The sequence below is a fragment of the Homo sapiens genome, chromosome 14 (assembly GCF_000001405.40).
Source record: "Homo sapiens chromosome 14, GRCh38.p14 Primary Assembly".
NCBI lineage: Eukaryota > Metazoa > Chordata > Mammalia > Primates > Hominidae > Homo > Homo sapiens.
This window is the reverse complement of record NC_000014.9, coordinates 53,449,716-53,470,572: the sequence shown is the minus strand read 5'-3', so window position 1 is coordinate 53,470,572 and position 20,857 is coordinate 53,449,716. Positions and strand designations below refer to the sequence as shown.

The 20,857-nt window shown below is 38.8% G+C and overlaps 1 long non-coding RNA gene across 6 annotated transcripts in view, besides 1 other annotated feature; it reads right to left on the bottom strand.

Moving 5' to 3' along the window:
- Window positions 1-20,857, bottom strand: part of LOC105370504 (uncharacterized) — a 402,142-nt gene that overhangs the window by 252,221 nt on the left and 129,064 nt on the right. The window lies entirely within an intron of this gene.
- Window positions 11,427-12,626: an enhancer, noted in NCBI's record as "P300/CBP strongly-dependent group 1 enhancer chr14:53924665-53925864 (GRCh37/hg19 assembly coordinates)". NCBI's record gives its function as "activates an origin of replication core promoter dependent on BRD2, BRD4, P300/CBP, MED14 and CDK7 cofactors, with strong dependence on P300/CBP, by STARR-seq in HCT116 cells {active_cell/tissue: HCT116}" and the evidence as "EXISTENCE:reporter gene assay evidence [ECO:0000049][PMID:35650434]".

Below are 20,857 nucleotides of genomic sequence, written 5' to 3'. Positions count from 1 at the left end.
GCTATGAGCCAGTGGAATGGAGGGCATGCAACCTAGTGAGACACCAGCTGGGGCAGCCAAGGGAGTGCTTGCATTACTCTTCTGTCAACCCCAGCAGCTCAGCTCACAGCTCCAGGGGAGCTTCTTTCTTCTAAGTAAGAAGAGGAGAGGGAAGAATAAAGAGGACTTTGTCTTGCAAGTTGGATACCAGCTAGTAGGATAGGACACCAGGCAGAGTCCTGAGGCACTCACTCCAGGGCCTAGCTCCCAAATGACATTTCTAGACATACCCAGGGCCAGAAGGGAACCCACTGACTTGAAAGGAAGGACTCAATACTGGCAGAACTCATCACCTACTGACTAAAGAGCCCATGGGCCCTGAATAATCAGCAGTGGTAGCCAGGTAGTATTCACCATAAGCCTTGGTTAACACTCTGAGATGTGCTGGCTTCAAGTGAGACCCAGAAAGTTCTCAGCTGTAGTGGCTATGAGGAGATATTCCTTTTGCTTGAGAAAAGCAGAGGGAAGAGTAAAGGGGACTTTGTCTTGTAGCTTAGGTACCAGCTCAGCCACAGTGGAGTAGAGCACCCAGAGGGCTCCTGGGATCCCTGATTCCAGGCCATGGCTCCTGGATGGCATTTCTGGACCTGCCCTGGGCCAGAGAGGAGCCCAGTTCCCTCCCTGAAGGGTGAGTCCCAAGCCTGGCAGCATTCACCACAAGCTGACTGAAGAACCCTTGGGCCTTGAGCAAATATAAACGATAGCCTGGCAATACTCATCTTGGGCTTGTGGCAGTGGTAGCCATGGGAAGAGACTCCTCCGCTTACAGAAAGGGAGGGAAGAGTATAAAGGACTTTGTTTTGTGTCTTGTGTGCCAGCTTAGCCACAGTAGAATAGAACATCAGGTAGATTTCTATGGTATCCCACTCCAGGCCTTGCTCCTGGATGGTATCTCTGAACCTGCCCAGGGCCATGGGGAACTTGCTGCACTAAAGGGAAAGACACAAGCCTGGTTTGCTTTGCCACCTGCTTAGGACCTTAGCATTAGGAACTTCAGTGCACACAGGTGGTAACCGGGTAGTGGTTACAGCAGATCTAAGGCAAAACCCAGTGCTGTGCTGGCTTTAGGTCTCACCTAGTGCAGTCCCAGTGGTGGTGGCTACAGGGGTGCTAGTGTCATCCCTCTCCCAGCTTGGGTCAGCTCAGCACAGAGAGACTCCATTTGTTTGAGAGAAACCAAGATATGAGAATAAGAGTCTATGCCTGGTAATCCAGAGAATTCTTCGGGATCTTATCCAAGACCACCAAGACCAGCAAGGCGGTACATCTGTGAGTCTGAAGGAGTCACAGCATCACTGTGGGGTATACCCTAATGCAGATACAGCTGCAGTGACTAAAAACTTAGATCATAACACCCAAGTTCCTTCAAATATGGAGAAAATCTTCTCAAGAATGGCAGGTACAAACAAGCCCAGACTGGGAAGACTACAATAACTACCTGATTCTTCAATGCCCAAACACTGACAAACATTCACAAGCATCAAGGCAATCCAGGAAAACACGACCTCATCAAATGAACTAAATAAAGCAGCAGGCATCAATCCCAGAGACAGAGATATGTGACCTTTCAGACGGAGAATTCAAAATAACTGTGTTGAAGAAAGTCAATTAAATTCAAGATAAAATAGAAAGAATTCAAAATCTTGTCAGATAAATTTAACAAAGAGATTGAAATAATTAAAAAGACTTAAGCAGAAATTCTGGAGTTCAGAAATGCAATTGACATACTGAAGAATGCATCAGAGTCTCTTAATAGCAGAATTGATTAAGCAAAAGAAAGAGTTAGTGAGATTAAAGACAGGCTATTTGAAAATACACAGTCAGAGAAGAAAAAAGAATGAAAAAGAATGAAACCCACCTGCAAGATATAGAAGATAGCCTCCAAAGGACAAATTTAAGACTTGTTGGCCTTAAAGAGGAGGTAGAGAAAGAGATAGTGGTAGAAAGTTTACTCAAAGGGATAATAACAGAGAACTTCCCAAACCTAGAGAAAGAAATATGGCACACCAAGCAGATTTAACCCAAAGAAGACTACCTCAAGATATTTAATAAGCAAACTCTCAAAGGTTAAGGATTGAAAAAAAAAAGGATACTAAAAGCAGCAAGAGAAAAGAAACAAGTAACATACAATGGAGCTCCAGTACATCTGGCAGCAGACTCTTCAGTGAAGACCTTACAGGCCAGGAGAAAGTGGCATGACATATTTAAAGTGCTGAGAGAGAGAGAAAAAAAAACAAAACATTACCTAGAATAGTATATCTGGTGAAAATATCCTTCAAACATGAAGGAGAAATGAAGACTTTCCTAGACAAGCAAAAGCTGAGGAATTTCATCAACACCAGATCTGTCCTACAAGAAATGCTAATGAGAGTTCTTCAATCTGAAAGATAACAATGTTAATGAGAAATTATCTGAAGGTACAAAACTCACTGGTATTAGAACATACACAAAAGAACACAGAATATAATCACACTGTTATTGTGGTATGTAAACTACTCAAATCTTAAGTAGAAAGACTAAACAATGAACCAATGAAAAATAATAACTACAACAACTTTCCAAGATGCAGACAAAAAAATAAGGTATAAATAGAAACAACAAAAAGTTTAAAAGCAGGGGGATGAAGTTAAAATGTAGAGTTTTTATTAGTTTTCTCTTTGCTTGTTCATTAATTTGTTTGTTTATGCAAACAGTGTTAAGATGTCATCAGATTAAAATAATGGATTGTAAGATGTTATCTGCAAGCTTCACAGCAACCTAAAATCAAAAAAAGCATACAACAGATACACAAAAAGCTAGAAATTAAAACATACCACCAGAAAAAATTACTTTCACTAGAAGGAAGGAAAGAAAGAACAGAAGACCACAAAACAACCAGAAAACAAATAACAAAACAAAAGGAGTAAGTCCTTACTAATCGGTAATAACATTGAATGTATATGGACTAAAGTCTCCAATCAAAAGACACAGAGTTGCTGAATAAATAAAAAAACTAGACCCCATGACCTGTTGCCTACAAGAAACACACTCCACCTATAAAGACACACACAGATTGAAAATAAAGGGATGAAAAAAGATATTCCTTACAAGGGTAGCCAAAAAAGAGCAGGGTAGGTATACTTATGTCAGACAAAATAGATTTCAAGACAAAAACTATAAAGAGAGACAAAGAAGGTCATTATATAATGATAAAGGGATTGGTTCAGCATGAGAATATAACAACTGTAAATATATGTGCACCCAACACTGGAGCATCCAGATACACAAAGCAAATATTATTAGAGCTAAAGAGATAGATAGACCCCAACACAATAAAAGATGGAGACTTCAACACCCCACTTTCAGCATTGCACATATCATCCAGACAGAAAATTTAAAATAAAAATTGGACTTAATCTGCATTATAGCCGAAATGAATCTAATAGATATTTACAGAACATTTCATCCAACAGCTGCAGAATACACATTCTGCACTTTAGCACATGGATCATTTTCAAGGAGAGACCATTTGTTAGGCCCCATAATGAGGCTTAAAACATTCAAAAAAATTGAAATAATATCAAGTATCTTCTCTGACCACAATGGGATAAAACTAGAAAACAATAACAACAGGAATTTTGGAAACTATACAAACACATGGAAATTAAATAATATGCTCCTGAATGACCAGTGGGTCAATGAAAAAATTAAGAATGAAATTGAAAATTTCCTTGAAACAAATGATAATGGAAACACAACATCAAAATCTATGAGATATAGTGAAAGCAGTACTAAGAGGGAAGTTTATAGCTATAAGTGCCTACATCAAAAAAGTTTAAAAACTTCAAATAAACAACCTAATGATGCATCCTAAAGAATGAGAAAAGCAAGAACAAACCAAACCCCAAATTAGTAGAAGAAAAGAAATAATGAGGATCAGAGCAGAAATATATGAAATCAAAATGAAGAAAACAATACAAAATATCAATAAAACAAAAAGTTGGCTTTTTGCAAAGATAACAAAATCAACAAATCTTTAGCTAGGCTGACTAAGAAATAAAGACAGAAGGCCGGGCGCAGTGGCTCACACCTGTAATCCCAGCACTTTGGGAGTCTGAGGCGGGTGGATCACGAGGTCAGGAGATCGAGACCATCCTGGCTAACATGGTGAAACCCCATCTCTACTGAAAATACAAAAAAATTAGCCAGGCGTGGTGGCGGGTGCCTGTAGTCCCAGCTACTTGGGAGGCTGAGGCAGGAGAATGGTGTGAACCTGGGAGGCGGAGCTTGCAGTGAGCCAAGATCGTGCCACTGCACTCCAGCCTGGGCAACAGAGCAAGACTCCATCTCAAAAAAAAAAAAAGAAAGAAAGAAAGACAGAAGACCCAAGTAAATAAAATAAAAAAGGAGACACTACATTCAATAACACAGAAATTCAAAGGATTGTTAGTGGCTACTATGAGCGACTATATGGGAATAAATTGGAAAAATTTAGAGGAAATGGATAAATTCCTAGACACATACAGCCTACCAAGATTGAACCAAGAAGACATCCAAAACCTGAACAAACCAATAACAAGTAATAAGTTTGAAGCCATAATAAAAAAGTCTCTCAGCAAAGAAAAGCCCAGGACCTGATGGCATCACTGCTGAATTTTACCAAACATTTAAAAAAGAACCAATACGTACTCAAACTATTCTGAAAAATAGAGGAAGTAGAAATACTTAGAAACTCATTCTATGAGGCCAGTATTACCCTGGTACAAAAAAAAAAAAAAAAGACATAATAAAAAAAGAAAACTACAGGCCAAAATCTCTGATGAACACTGATGCAAAAATCCTCAACAAAACACTAGCAAACAGTATTTAATAACACTAAAAAGATTATTCATCATGACCGAGTGGAATTAATCCCAGAGATGCAAGGATGGTTCAACATGTATAAATCAATCAATGTGATACATCATATCAACAGAATGAAGGACAAAAAATCATATGATTATTTCAATTGATGCTGAAAACACATTTGATAAAATTCAGCATCTCTTCACAGTAAAACCCTCAAAACCCTGAGTGTAGAAGGAACATACCTCAGGGGTATAGGACAGGATCCTTAATTCTTCCTGCACAAGACACCTTCATATCTTTTATTCCCTTCACATCCACCCTAAACATTTTCTGGTTATCCAGTAATCTCAGATTCTTAATTTATCAACTTTGAACAACCTTTAGCTTGTCTTTGTCCTCTTCTAAGTGTCATGTCCAATACTAACTACAATACTCCATGTATCCACATACAGATTGATCAGAGCAAAATAGAGTAGGATTACCACTTTCCCCAGAGTGGGCATAATATATCTACTAATACAGTCTAAGACATTAACTATATTGGCAGCCATGCCACTCAGTTGACATACATTGCATAACCAAAACTCCTAATCTTCTTCTACATTGTATATGCTAAGGATCCAGTCCTATATCTTTTAAAAGAACCCAGAAATTCACTTTATAATCTCCAAGTTTTCATTCATGTCCTTATTTCCATGTAATTAAATTTGCTAGTATTCAAGGACCTACAATAAAAGTTAATATTATTAAATATCTTGTTGGCATTACATATTTTCTATATTATTTAATGTCTTTACAACAGTAATCTTCCTTGTATTTGTTTATGTTAATGAATATGCCTTCTATCTACATTTTTTACTCAAATAGATTGGTATAAACCTAACCACATCTTAGAAATCTTAGAATTTCTTATCTTTAGGAAATATATCCCATATTCCAAAAAAGAAACCAAAAATGATTTTGCAAGCACACCTTATTTTGAATTGATGGTTTACTATAGGCTTAAGTGGAGCATCTTTATTTTCACTAACATTATGTTCTGTTTATAATCACAGCATTAATTTAACTCTGTTTTCCTGCCTTCACTCTCCATCCCCAGTTACTTAGTTTTAGTCTTAACCAACATCTGTGTTTACACAGCCATAAACTATAGATAAGCACAATTTTGCAAACGATGTTTCAGGACCCCTTTTCTAGCTTGGCGATATGTGGATAAGCTGTGTAACTTAGAAAGTCTTTACAGAACAGCTAGCTAAAATCCACAGTTTCAACAACAAGTTTTATAAATCTTATTTCTTTATATCTCTCAAATCATCTACTCCTTTCCATCCCCATCACCATTTCCTTAGCGGAGGGCATCATCATCTCTTGGGAGATTCTGGCAACATTCTACAATTGCCCTGCCTTTAATACAATCCCCTTCCAGTGTGTGCTTCCAGTGCAGACAGAGTGATCTTTCCAAATATATCAATCTGATCCTGTCAAACTCTTGTTTAAAATCCTTCAGAGCCTCCATGTTGTCTTCAGAATTACAGGGAGTTGCATCTTACATAGGAATTAGGTTCCATAAGCAACTAAAACCTAAATCATATATAGTCAAACTCATCCTGGAATGGTCCTTGATTGTTCTTAAGTCACATGTGCCAATTATCCAACTTTACCAGAAGTATAAGTATATTAGAATGTATTTAAAAATATTTATCAAGTGCCTATTACATAATCAGAAACTGTTCCAGGCAATGGGACTATCTCAAGGAACAAAACAGACTAAAATCTCTCCCTTCAGAGAGCTTACATTTAATAAACAAATAAGTCAAATACATAGAAAGTCTAATGGCAATAAGAGCTACTGGGGAAAATTGGGGCAGAGAAAGGGGATAGGGAAAAAGTTGGGGACAGGATGGTGAAGGAAGGGGATTGCCATTTTCAGTAAGGTGTTCAGAGAAAGCCTAACTGTGAAGGTAGCATTTGAGCAAAGTGGAAGAAGGTAAGTGAGTGAGCCAAACAGACCTGTAGATGAGGAATGTCGTAAAGGAACAAGGAGTGCTTAAGCCCTGGAGGGTTTGAGAAATGAATGACAAAGTGCAGATAGGAGCTGGAGTGGAGTTAGAGATCAGAGAGGTGGCAGGGAGCCAACTGTGTAGGGCCTTTTAGGTTTTTGCTCCTTGAGTGATGTGAGAAGCCACTTGAGAGTTTCAGGCAATTGGGTCATGGTCTGACTACAAAGCTCAGATGGGCAGGCGAGGCTGGCCTTGTCCTCCATCCCCTGCTACCCCTCGCCTCCCTCTCTCTGAACTCCACAGCTAACTTGTTCTTGTGCTTTTTCTCCTAGACTCCAGAAGGGCAGGTGTGTTTCATGCAGGATGCCTTCCCTGATTTCCCCCAGCCTGAGCTGATGGACTTTGTTCATTTTCCCAGTGTGTCTAGTCCACACTGCCGAGCACTGGTAGCCAACTACCCCCATCTCTAGAAGGCAAACTCTTTGAGAGTGGTGCCCACGTCTTCTTTGTAACTCCGGCTTGCAGCACAACACCTACATGCAGATAAGCACTCAGGAAATGTTTGCTGAATGAATGGCTAAGCAACAGTGAAATCGGCTGCAGCAGACGAGTCTGCAGGAGGATTCTCACTTGTGTGAGGCATTTTGAATTATCTAGAATCCCAATATCTGGGTTTCTGATCTCCTTTTCGGAGAATTGTATTTTAACACACTTCCTTTTTATCTTTCAGATTTGGTTTTGACTGCATTCTTCTGAGCTTTAAATTTATTGCCCATCAAAAGGAAAAAGAAAAGCTATGAAAATTCTTTCTTTTGGCAAACTCTAAGCAAAGGTAAACTTTTATGTTTGTGAGAAAGGAGATATCCCAATCCAATTGGCAATTTTTTTAAGTTTAAATATTTTTTAAATTTTTGTGTTATTAATAAATCATACTAACAGATACCAACCCCAAATGCAACTTACTTGTAAATTGAGGCATACTGGCTATTTCAATGGAAAAAAAAAACTGTGGACAACCTGTGCTTTTACCTACATTTTGAAATCCACATTCTACAGTGTGAAGATAGAAATAAGAGATCACCAAGAAGAGTATTCAATTTGAGTTTAGATGTGATCAGCTCCTGAAAAGAAAAGATTATCAATGTTTATCTTCTACAGATATCATTTGAGCTTTCAGGGTGGGAGAGAAAGAACCAAGCATGGAAAAACAAGAGTATTTTGTGTGATATAACCTGGTCAAAATGTTAGCCTGTAAGGGTGGGTACAAAGTCCTTTATCACATTTGGAAAAAAAAAAATTCTCCTTCCTCCCTTCGGGAGAACATGGGGTTTAGCATCAGTTTTAAAAGGCCTCTCGCCCTTTCAACATGCATCCGAGCCCCACCCTCGCACAGAGGTAAGATAATGTGCTCTTCAGTAAGAAGTCAAGTATCCCCTGTCTTTTGAAACTGCCTGACGAGAATTAACGGCCTTTGCCATCCTCTTTTAAACAACTTTGGCCAGTATTTATAAGCACCTCGTTTATCTTGAGAGTCTTTCATCTATTATCTGACTGTAAGCGTGTTCATGGCTCATCAGCTGAATTCACTTTGACAGAGAAGTCTTATGACGAGTAGCCAACAGCCTAATGTCAGGTCTGTGAGTATCTCTGGAATTAAGGTGATGGGAAAAGGGTAACCTTCTGCTGCTTCTAACAGCATTTGCTGAACAACAGAAATAGAGCCTTAAATCATCCTCCCTTTAGGAAAGCAGGTCCCCTTTGCTAATATTAGAGCACATTGCAGCTGGGTTCGCACTTAGATCAAAAATACCACTTGAGGCCACCTCTGGATTCAGACTTATATGTGGTAACAGATGTGAACCATGAAATTTCCTGTTATATAGATGAAAGTTACCATCCAAATGGTTTTTACTTGACCACTAACAAGTCCATTTGCAGATATTTTTAACACTAACAAGGGAAAAAAAAAAAAAGACCATCATTCTCTATCTTTATAGTTCAACCACCAGGGCCCCGGAGGTTTATAATTGTTACTTCTCTTCTTCTGAAGAATTAGGAATGGGTTTTTTGATGAAAAAAAAAAAATACCTGGCTGCAAACATAATATGCTTATTTTAAACAGCTCCAGTTTGGTTTATGATAATCTGAAAGTGCATGATGCCTCAAACAAAGATTTCTGTTTATAATAACTTATAAGAATTATATTTCAAAACAGTTTAAAGCTGGCTATACACATTCATAAATATTTTGAGTAGCCAAAGTAAACTTTTGAGAAACCTCGCCACCACAGAATTCAATGTTTGTATTTTCTACGAATAAAACAGGAGCTTTTTGAAAGTAGCATTAATACTAAATTGACAGGGAGGTACCTGTTGCTCTAAATTTATCATCACCCAATCAGCATGGCCTATATCTGCCAAGCTGAGGAGTAAATCAGTTGTGTTTAGCTTCACTAATCACCTGATGATTATTCAGAATTATAAAAACAGAGCTTTTCAGTCCCAAAGGTAAAACTCTATTACGAACAATGGCTTTCAACTGTTCAACACTTAGTCAACAGTTCTCTTCCAGTCCTAAAAGAGTAACTTCATTAAAATGCAAGGAATCAGTGTGAACATACTTGAAATAATACTAATAAAGGAGCAGTTGGTATTGTACAGATAAGTCTGTTTCTATCTTCAAAGTTCTTTCAAAAGAGCTTTAGTCAGGTGTTACAGTAACTGGAATTAAATGGGTATCTATATACTATAGTCCCCCCATACTTGTCTTAATGTAGTTCCATTGACATCCTTTTGTGGGTCACTTGGAAAATAATGTACTCAAATTTCTATAGATAGAAACAACAAAATAAAAAGCCTACCCTTTGTTGAACTGTCACTCCTGTATTCTTAAGAAATCATGAGGTTAATGTACAGGGTGGGTGATAACCTTATGAAGCAGATGATCCAGCAAGAGGCATTTGTTGCTAGATGTATTTAAAAAAAAAAAAGTTTGGCTTTCTCTTTATGAGTTGTTAAGAGTGAAAAGCAAGAGTTTCTGTAAAAGTATTCACAACAGTCATGATTCTTCAGCTACGCCCAAGCCAAAGTAAAATAGCTCATTGGAATATTGTGATGAGCAAACTGAGGTTTTAAGAGTTGCTATTATTTTAGTCTCTGTCTGAAATGAAAGAGGAACCTGTCGGAAAGTGTAGGCTAATTTAGAAATAAGAACCCCTGTAGCCCTCTACCCTCCCATGCCACGAACCCCCTCCTACACAGATTCAGAAACTTCTGCAAACTATCAAAAGACCCTAAATGCCCGTTATAACGGGGTTTACACAAGCTCCCTCCTCACCTCCGTTTCCCTATCCTTTGCGGGAGCTTCCCCCAGGAGCTTTCTTCCACATCTGAATCTGCACCTGAGCCAATTCCAAATCTCAGACTGACTACCATGTCTGTCCACTTGGGTAATGGCCAAAATCAAGTTGACACCTATGAGAAAACTTATGCATGTCTGCATCTCCCCTTGCTCCCTTTCTCTTCCTTCTCTTCTTCAAAAATACCCATAATGTGACTCCTTCACATGGCTTTCCTGACTCTGTCAGTGATACCAACAATCTCCCCACCACCCAGATGATGGTCCTGGGGTTATGTTAGATTCCTCCTTCTCATTCATTCTGTTCATCTGCCTTTCACAGTCTTGTTTATGTTTCATGAAAATGTCTTTCAAATACAAGCTTCCTCTTCATTCCCACCTCCACCATCCTAGGAGAGCATCTATCACATCACACATGGGTTACAGTAGCTGCCAGGCAACATCCCTTATGACAAGTTCTCCTGTGCTCCAAACCTTTGTATAACTTGGCAAAATGCACGCTAAAAACTATTAACACATTGCTATTTTATCATAAGCCTTCAATGGTTACAAGCTGTCCACCTCATCCTTGTGTACTTGTAAAAGCATGAAGACCCTTCCCAGGTCAACTCAAAACTATTTCCTATATAAAGTTAATTACCTTCCTGTAACGCATATCCATTTGTTGTGCATGAAAAGAAAAAGTTAATTCTTTCTTCTACTAGGCAGTCCATCAGATGTTTGAAAACAGCTCTCATGCATCTGCTTAATATTCTTTCCTTCCATTTAATTCCTTCCCTTTCTCTTCAGATGACTTTGTTTTCAGATTCCTCATCATTGTTTAGACTTACTGCCATAGCCCCACCTAAAATATACAACACTCTTGAAATAAATAGGTAATTGTACTTTTTCCCACTTTCAAATTCCTTGGGCCAGGCATGGTGCTCACGCCTGTAATCCCAACACTTTGGGAGGCCAAGGCAGGTGGATCACTTGAGGTCAGAAGTTCGAGACCAGCCTGGCCAACATGGTGAAACCCCATCTCTACTAAAATACAAAAATTAGCAGGGTGTGATGGTGGGCGCCTGTAATCCCAGCTACTTGGGAGACTGAGTCAGGAGAATTGCTTGAACCCAGGAGGCAAAGATGCAGTGAGCCAAGATTGTGCCAGCGCACTTCAACCGGGACAACAGAGCAAGACTCCGTCTCCAAAAAAAAAAAAAATCAAATTCCTCCATGCCTACCCAGAGTAACAGGAAATCCCCCCATACATATTTTTAATGAATCAGTACTAGCCTGAATGTATTTGAAAGTTTAAGCTAATGTAAAAAAAAAATTTTTACATTGTACTTTTATCTTCAGCATGACACATCATTTATATTTAATAAATGTTTAGTCATTGGATAAAGGGGAAAACAAATATAGGCTCTTTGGATATAATATAACTTTGGTGGAAAACCAGGAGAGCTCACTTTACAAAGACATGTATCTTTAGCTCCCTGATATTGTTGAAAACAAAACCAAATTAAACAAAAAAAAACCTGTAGCTACCTTCAGACAAGAGCCTTTAAACATACTTGGCAGGAAACAGTCACTCCACTTTCATTCCTCCAACCCTCACATCAGTGACCTCCCTTGATCTCTGAGATGACAGTTTGCCAAGTTCCATGAAGATGGCATTCACAAATGACCCCATTAGACTTCCTAAAAACCTTAATTGCCCAATTCCTTTCACCCAGGTTTCTGAGGTTCAAGGAATGCTATCCTTCAGTTACTCTCTGGCATAGGTTCCAACTATTGTTATCTAATCCTTTCTGAATCCCTGAGAATGCAAAGAACTGAAGCTGACTTTGATTCTCTACCGAATTACAAAATACTTTACATACTTCTGTCACATAGTCATTCTCCTGTGTTTACTGTTCAACAGTGACATTCACTTTCATGTCTAAACATAGAAGGGAAGCACCATTGCAATAAATATAATCGTAAAGATTCAAAAGCTGATCCCCTTCAAAGGACCATGTTAAATATCTAAGAAAATTAATCACTTCCTGCTGTCCTAACCCCATATTTACACCTTATCTGAATGAACAGTATAGGCTAAGGGGCCAAGTGTCCACTCTGCATATGCATTTGAAAAATACCTTAGCTTTTTCTTGCATATCAAATCGACATTTATTTATTGAGTATCCACTATTTGGATCACACTATCTTGGAGCAAATCTATTGAAAAAAAAAGTAATTTCATTTAAACTTTAGCTTTTCTTTCAGGATATGTTGTGACCTTAAAGAAAAGTATTATGCTGTATACATGTAGATCTACTTTTCTGAAACCAAAACGGGTATATGATGTGGATGGCGAGAGGACGAGTTGCACCAGAAGAAGTAAAAATAGATTAATAAGTTAAAAAAAAAACTCCTATATTTATGTCATTCCAGAATCATATGCTTTAATTTTCTTGTCTAAAATTCTTAACAGCATTATATTGCAATCATTTGAATCAAGTTTCCCAATTCCATAAAAGTTTGCTGTATCAAGTGGAACAATTATGAATACTAATGTTTCCTTTATTTGTTTTCAGTGGCAAATGAAAGCACATGAAGGGCCATGGTGTTACATTATGCTCTCATCCCACCAACACCATCACCCCGCACAGCACACATGCATGCACACCCTCTCTCACAGTATTCAGAAGGTTGAGCACTCTTCTACTAGGAGAAAAACAGGATAAATGGAGGAAGCTTTACTCAGAGGCACACCCAAGAGAGAATAATCACCTTACAGACACATTAAGGGCTTCCAGCACCTCCAAGAGATTGAGACATTATTTTATAATGACAAATATGCAGCTAAATTACTCAAGTGATCTGTGGAATCAATCAATAACTTCATCCCTCAAAACATAGTTTTTGAAACCATATTCTATCACTTGAAGAAAAATTGGGCCAAAAAATTTCCAAGAATATTACATTTCTGAGTTCACAAGAATTATCTTGGAGGGGAGATGGATAAAAATAGGTTAAACTAAAACAGTATCTGTTGAAGAATAGGCTAATGACACTCTTTCATGATACGTATAGCATGTTTCAAAATTACTATGACCTATACTTCTCTGCATTTATGTTTTATTTCAATAAACATGTCCAAAACCATGTCATAGCAAGCTGATAATTTATCTAGGAAGTCTACTACTGGGGTCTCAGTATCACAGAGGAAACAGTATAGGGGAGAGCCAAAAAATAAAGAGGAGTCTGGCCAAGGAAAAAAGATAAACTGGATTTGGCAAGAGGAAGAGATTAAGATGTTGCTTCTTTGCCCTCCACAAATGCTGGGTCTGCAATGTGACCCTGGAAGATGAAATGAGATGGAGGCAAGAATATTATACATTTTTTTCTAGTTTGCTTTTTTTAAAAAAAAAGATATATAATAGTTGCATATATTTTGGAGGTACATATGATATTTTGATCCCTGTATACAATATACGCTGGGCTCAGTCAAGGAAAGCCAGCACCCAGCTAAGGATATGCCAGAGGCGAGAAAACATCCTATAAGGGTATGAGGTCCTGCACTGAATTGTAATCTTACCGGAATGGCATATCAGGATCCCAAATGTTTTGGAGTAGGTGACAGATGCAGTGAAACTCAAACACATCTCCAGCAAATATGAACAAAATAAACCAAAAGAAGAGCCCCCAAGGTCTGGGGAGCTTGAGAGAGGAAAGGTTGATCATCTTCATATTTCTCCTAGGAATGTTCTTATTTATTTTTTTTTGCTTTTTAAACTGCTTGATATATTCTTTCCAAGACTGCTATCAAGATGTGGTCAGTGAAGAATAAGAAAACTGCCCCACGCAGTCTGGTCAATATTCCCAGGTTCACTAGAAATGCCAAAGTAAGAGAATAGTCATAAGCATCATCATCTGGGAACCCCCCAAACAATATTATATGGTCAGCAAGAGGTTGCCAGAGCTGTTCCTTTTTCTTTTAAACATTAAGCTCTTCCTGCCTATAGGAAACCCAGTGAAAATCTCATTTCTAGGCTCTCTGAGCTATAGAAATTTCTCTGTTATCTGGGGAGTCCTAGACCACTGCAGTCCTTGGTACTCAAAATCCATATATTTGCATGGTCTGTTTATGCCAGAAAACCTGTACGTGATCTTTACCCACAATTGACATTACCTAATTTGATTTATCCCAATCAGCCTGAAAATTCTTTAAGTTCCAAATTGAGGGAAAGTAAAACAAGAGTATTTTTTATTTGACCATGTCATCTGAGTATATATAGTTGAAATCTGAGATATGGAGCTGCTTGAAAGATGAAAAGAGATGGGGGCAAAAGCATTATACATTTTTTTCTAGTTTACTTTTTAAATTTTTTAATTGAAATAGAGTAGTTGCACATATTTTGAGAGGGCATGTGGTATTTTGATACCTGTGTTCAATGTTTAATGATTATACACTTTTTAAAGTAGTTACAACACTCATAAGAGAAAATGTAGCATCATGACTAAGGTTGTAGACTCTGGAGCTGACTGCCTGAGTTCAAATCTGAGCTTCACCACTTCCTTATATAACTTTTATGGCCTTGAGCTTGCTACCTACACTGTCCATGTTTCGGTTTAAGCACATTAATATATGTACAAAACATAGAATAGTGTCTTGTTTATGATAAATGCTAAATAAGTACTAATTAATTATAAGCAGATGCTAACTTTCCTTCTATCATAAATAGAAACATGATAATTACAAATAAATATTCCTCATCAGAGCCCCTTACATCATCTCAATGCTCACGTGGTGAGGGTCCATAAACCACAGTCCACCAGCGAAATCCAGCCCCTGTCTTGTTTTTGTCCAGCCCACAAGGTAAGAATAATTTTTACCTTTTTAAAATTAATTTTTAAAAATTTCAATAGCTTTAGGGGTATAAGCAGATTGTAGTTGCATGGATGAACTGCACAGTGAAGGCTGGGCTTTTAGTGTACCCATCACCTGAATAGTATACACTGTATCCAACAAGTAATTTTTCATGTGTCAGCCCCACAACCCTCACTCTTTCTGAGTCTCCAGTGTCCATTATACCACTTTGTATGCCTTTGCACACCGATAGCTTAGCTCCAACTTATAAGTGAGAACATGTGGTATTTGGTTTTTCATCCCTAAGTTACTTCACTTAGGATAATGGCCTCCAGTTCCACACAAGTTGCTGCAAAAGACATTATTTTGCTGTTTTTATGGCTGAGTAGTATTCCATGGTGTGTGCGTGTGTGTGTGTGTGCGTGTGTGTGTCACATTTATTTTATCTATACATCAATTGATAGGCACTTAAGTTGATTCCATATCTTTGCAGTTGTGAGTTGTGGTGCAATAAACATGCAGGTGTCTTTTTGACATAATGACTTCTTTTCCTTTGGGTAGATACCCAGTGGTGGGATTGCTGAATCGAATGGCAGATCCATTTTTTGCTCTTTGAGAAATCTCCATAGCATTTTCCATAGAGGTTGTACTACTTTACATTCCCACATTTTTAAGAGATGGTTTAAAAAAAGAAGAGGAGAAGGAGAAGAATATATGACAGAAACCAAACATGCCCCCCAAAGTCTAAAATATTTACTATCTGGCCCTCTACAGAAAACATTTGCTGATCTTTGTACTGGATTATAAGAATATCATTACAATATGAGAACAAGGTAGTTTTCTAGAATATTTTGTGTGCCTGTTAATTATTTTGAGTACCACATATTTTTTATTAACTGGTGATATAAAATGCCAGGGTTTGGTTTCAGGAAGCTATTTAGCAACATTACAAATGTCACCTTCGCAATTTATGCTGCTCCATTGTCTTTAAAGAGTAGCCCTTTACGCTTCTTCAGCTCACACCTACAAGCACACTCCAGAAATGACCACACTGAGACATGCTCACCAAAGGCAAGGGCACACACAAATCCCCTCTGCTCCAAAATGGGTAGGGTTGCTTCATTTAGCAAATAAAAATACAAGATGCCCAGTTACTTCTGAATTTTAGGTAAACAATGATTGATTGATTGATTTAGTATAAGTATGTCTCATGCATACTTAGTTGAGACATACTTATACTAAAATATTTCTCATTGTTTATCTGAAATTCAAATTTAAATGGAGCATTTTATATTTTACTTGTCAATCTTAAAATGGTGGCTCATAAAAATGAAGGGAATTATGAACTATATATATTCAAAGCATACTTAAAGTAGTAAGAGATTTCTTTATTTTCTTTTCTAAATTAGTAACAATAGTAACAGTAACAACAGCTTATGTGTATTGAGAGTTTTCTGTGTTCCAGACACTGTTCTATATAATAAACACTTTCTATATAATAACCCATTTAATCTTCACAGGCACTGTATTAGCCCATTTTCACACTGCTATATAGAACTACCTGAGACTGGGTAATTCATAAAGAAAAGAAGTTTAATTGACTTACAGTTTCACATAGCTGGGGAGGCCTCAGGAAGGCAAAGGGGAAAGCAAGGCACGTCTTACATGGAAGCAGGAGACAGAGTGAGAGCAAAGAAAGCCACACACTTTTAAACCATCAGATCCTATGAGAACTTACTCACTAACACGAGAACAGCATGGAGGAAACCGCCACCATGATCCAATCACTTCTCACCAGATCCCTCCCCTGACACATGGGGATTATAATTTGAGATGAGATTTGGATAGGGACACAGAGCCAAACCATATTAGGAACACCCAAGAATGGTAAGATAGTGTTATTATTTTATTCATTTGATATGTGAGAAAACTCTGGAAAAGAAAGGTTAAGTACCTTATGCAAAACCACACAATTAGTATATCATGGAAGAAGCATAATTTGGGTATCTAATTCTCTCTCCCCACTGTGCTTAGCCACTAATTAAAAATTCCCCTTAAACACAGGCACACAGAATGCTAGAGAGGTGAATTTACTTTGGTTGGGTTTGGATCTTGGAGCTACACACTAAGACGCTGGCCTGCCAGGTTGTCTTAGAGCAGGGTTTCTCAGTCTCACCACTGCTGATATTTAGGGCTGCATTCTTGACCTGTATGCACTAAATGCCAGCAGTATCTCCCTCCCAGTCATGATCATCAAAAATGTCTCCAGACCTTGCCCATCCCCTGGATATAGGATTCCCAGATTTAGCAAACGAAAGTACAAGACACCTGGTTGATTTTGAACTTCAGATAAGCAATGAATAATTTTTCAGTATAAGTATGTACCATGCAATATCTGGCACACATTTATAGTAAAAATTATTTGTTGTTTACCTAAAATGCTAATTTAGCTGTGCATCCTGTATTTTATCTGGCAACCCTACCTGGAGGACAAAATCTCCCCCAGTTGAGTACCAGTGTTAGAGCTCTGGTGAGAGAAGAGGCCAGAGAGTCAAAGTTTCTCACCCTCCTCTCTGTTGAACCTGAATATAATGCTCTAACCATACAGCAACAGAAAGGAGAAGACTCATCTGGCATCAAACTGGTGAACCAACCCATCTCTTCTCCCCTTACTGCTACACACACCCCTGGTTAGCCTGGATATCTTCTTTCAGGGACACAAAAAACTCTTGGCCTTTCTCCTAGGTGCTAGTGAACATGGACCTCCTAATTCCTTACTCTCCATTCAATCTGCCTTGTTAATAAAATTCATTTTTAATAAGAATTCTGACTAATCCTTCCCCAACCCCCACGTCTTAATATTCTCCAATACCTCCCCACTTGCTGAGATCAGCTAGACCACCCTCATCCCTAGGTCCCTGTGTTAGATGACCAACCTCCAATCCTTTTGCTACTACCAGGACTGGGATGTAATAGGTCAGGGGTGAGGCACAGGTGCAGCTCTCCCTCTCCAGCCCTCACTCCTATACAGGACTCATTGTGAAACTGGACTTTGGTCTCATCCTCCTTCTGAATTCTGAGCTGTTTCTGCCTGGCACTTCTGCCTTCTTCTTCTTAAGCTCAGAGTTTAGCCACAACTTCCAATCTGAGATATGGGTCCTAATACCCAGCCTGGTCATTGTCAGATATAGGAGCACATATTGCCCTTGTACGGAATGACATGAAAGCAGCCTTATGTGTGAAAATCACTTGGGACCATGAAAGATGCCTGGGCACCTCCAGAGTACTCTGCAGCCACCAGCATAGCATGCTGCTTGCCCTGGTGATAGCAAGTGCAGCAAGATACAGCTGAACAAGTGGCACGCATGCAGCAAGTCAGTATCTGTCACAGATAACGTACATGGAAATTCAAGCTCATTCCTATGTCATTCATAAAGGGCCCCCAAAACATCAGAAAAAGAAAATAAGAAGAAAAAAAGGCAGAAAGAAGGAAAGGAGGAAGGGTGGGGAAAAACAGGGAAGACTTTTTTCAGATTTTGACCCTGCCACTACCTTGAACAAGTTATGAAAATAATCTGAGCCCCCATTCATTTGTTTGTAAATGGAACAATAATACACACCTTAAAGAATTAGATGAATGAACATATGCTAGATCTGGGTCATAAAAACCATTCAGTGGGCTGGGTGCAGTCACTCACGCTTGTAATCCCAGCACTTTGGGAGGCCAAGGCAGGCGGATCACCTGAGGTCAGGGGTTCGCGACCAGCCTGGCCAACATGGCGAAACCCTGTCTCTACTAAAAATACAAAAATTAGCCAGGTATGGTGGCACATGCTTGTAATCCCAGCTACTCAGGAGGCTAAGGCAGGAGAATCAATTGAACCCAGGAAACAGAGGTTGCAGTGAGCTGAGATGGTGCCATTGCACTCCAGCCTGGGCGACAGAGTAAGACTCCCTCAAAAAACAAACAAACAACAACAAAAAAAACCCATTTAGTGAATATTAGATCCCTCTCTCTTCTTTTGTTCCCCTTTTTCCCTTTTCTCCCTGAAATGCAGTAAAGATTACTGTAACCTCCAAGAGTAGGCAGAGATTATTTCCTCCCCATTAGCCCTCACCCCCACCCCACTCTTTCCAATCTTCCCCCTTCTCTGCCCCTGCTAGTCTAATTTTGTCATGTTTTTCCTTTGCATCTGTAAGGCAGTCTAAGTTTTATAACAGTTCAATCAAGTTCAATTAATGGAATTTTAAAGGGGCCTGGAAAACCAATGCTATATTAAATTATAAATGCAAAAATTAGAGCAAAACAAACCTCATGCCTCAGAGCAAAATTTTATGCTTTTAATGTGTAAGGAAGCCATTTGTCCTTGGCCCCAGCCCAACCCTCTCTCTAAGCAGCTATATCCGCCTTACCCAAACACTGTGATTCGTTATGTAAATATGGCTGCCTTCCTCCATATCGGAACAGCTATTTGTTATTACCAGGAGTTAAATGCTAACCCTGACAAAGCCATGTTCTAGCCCAGCACTTTATGGTCTGCTTTAATGGCTGGGCAAGAGTTGTAATTGCAGTCCTCTTAGCTATCCTGTACCACCTTAATCAACACACCAGCTCTGGAGGTCCTGAGGAAATGATCTTATCATCACCTCATTATTAATGTACATCTTGTTTAAAGGGATTTGCTAAGCTATTAAAGGGATATGATTCCCAGCCCTTTGTCACTATAAAATTCCTCTAGGACTATGAATTGAATAAATCAGCAGGTTATCACACCTGGCATTATTAAAATACATTAGGGTATAAAAATAAGACTTACCACTAACTTCTGTCATGGAGAAAAAAACAAATAAATAAGTGTCTGTTTTCTGACCATAACCTCATAGCCTCTTCTACAGTTTGGTCTGCTTAGCCAGTTTCAACGGCACCATTTCTGTGGATGAATTCTCTGGGCCTTTACATTTATAAGAGAGTAGTTCTCAATTGTTTTTATTTTTTTCTTAATGCTTGAGTCCCTAGTGTATGGTTTATCCCAGTAAGCAATACTCCCTCATCATGTCCTCTTTCTCATAACTTTCAAGAACTATCTTTTAAAAATAATCTTAGTAACATTATGCTGATAATCTCCATAACATTATGATGAATGAGAAGTTCTCATTTATTTCGTCTGTGTTGACTAGCCTTATCAACTTCCCAAATTGATCGATATTATTTCTTTTTTAGGTAGAAAAGGAAGGCACTGAGAATCTTCTTTGCCTCCCCCAAATTACTCAGCTTATACCAGTGATTCTTTGGCTCTTTTAAGGGCAAATGGCCTTTGCTTCCTTCTAAATGATGTCTGTAAAATGATGGAAACATCCAATTGCCTAATCGCTCTTTATAGCTTTTCCAACTTCTGTAAGCCTTTTTATAGGTCTCCATCCATCTCCTCTTTGCCCTGGGCCATCAGAACCATACTCTGTCTATTGCTTCCTCTCTCATCATTTCTTTCCTGAACCTCCTGTGAGTGCATTTCCCTCTCTTTTCCTTCTTTCCTCCAGCAAGGCTCAGTTTGGGGCCATGGGCTTTGTTCCCTCACAGCACACTCCTCATGGAAGCTCCCATCAGATGGCTTTAATTACCACCTGAATGCATATGACTCCCCATCTCCAGCCCCAGCCGTGACCTCTCACCCTCTCTTCAGTCCCATATTTCTTTCTGTCTGCAGAATATCTCTACTTGGGTGTCCCACCACCTCCTAAAACTAAACATGTCAGATGCAGAGCTCATTATCTCTCCACTCCCCCTTGGTTGTCTCCC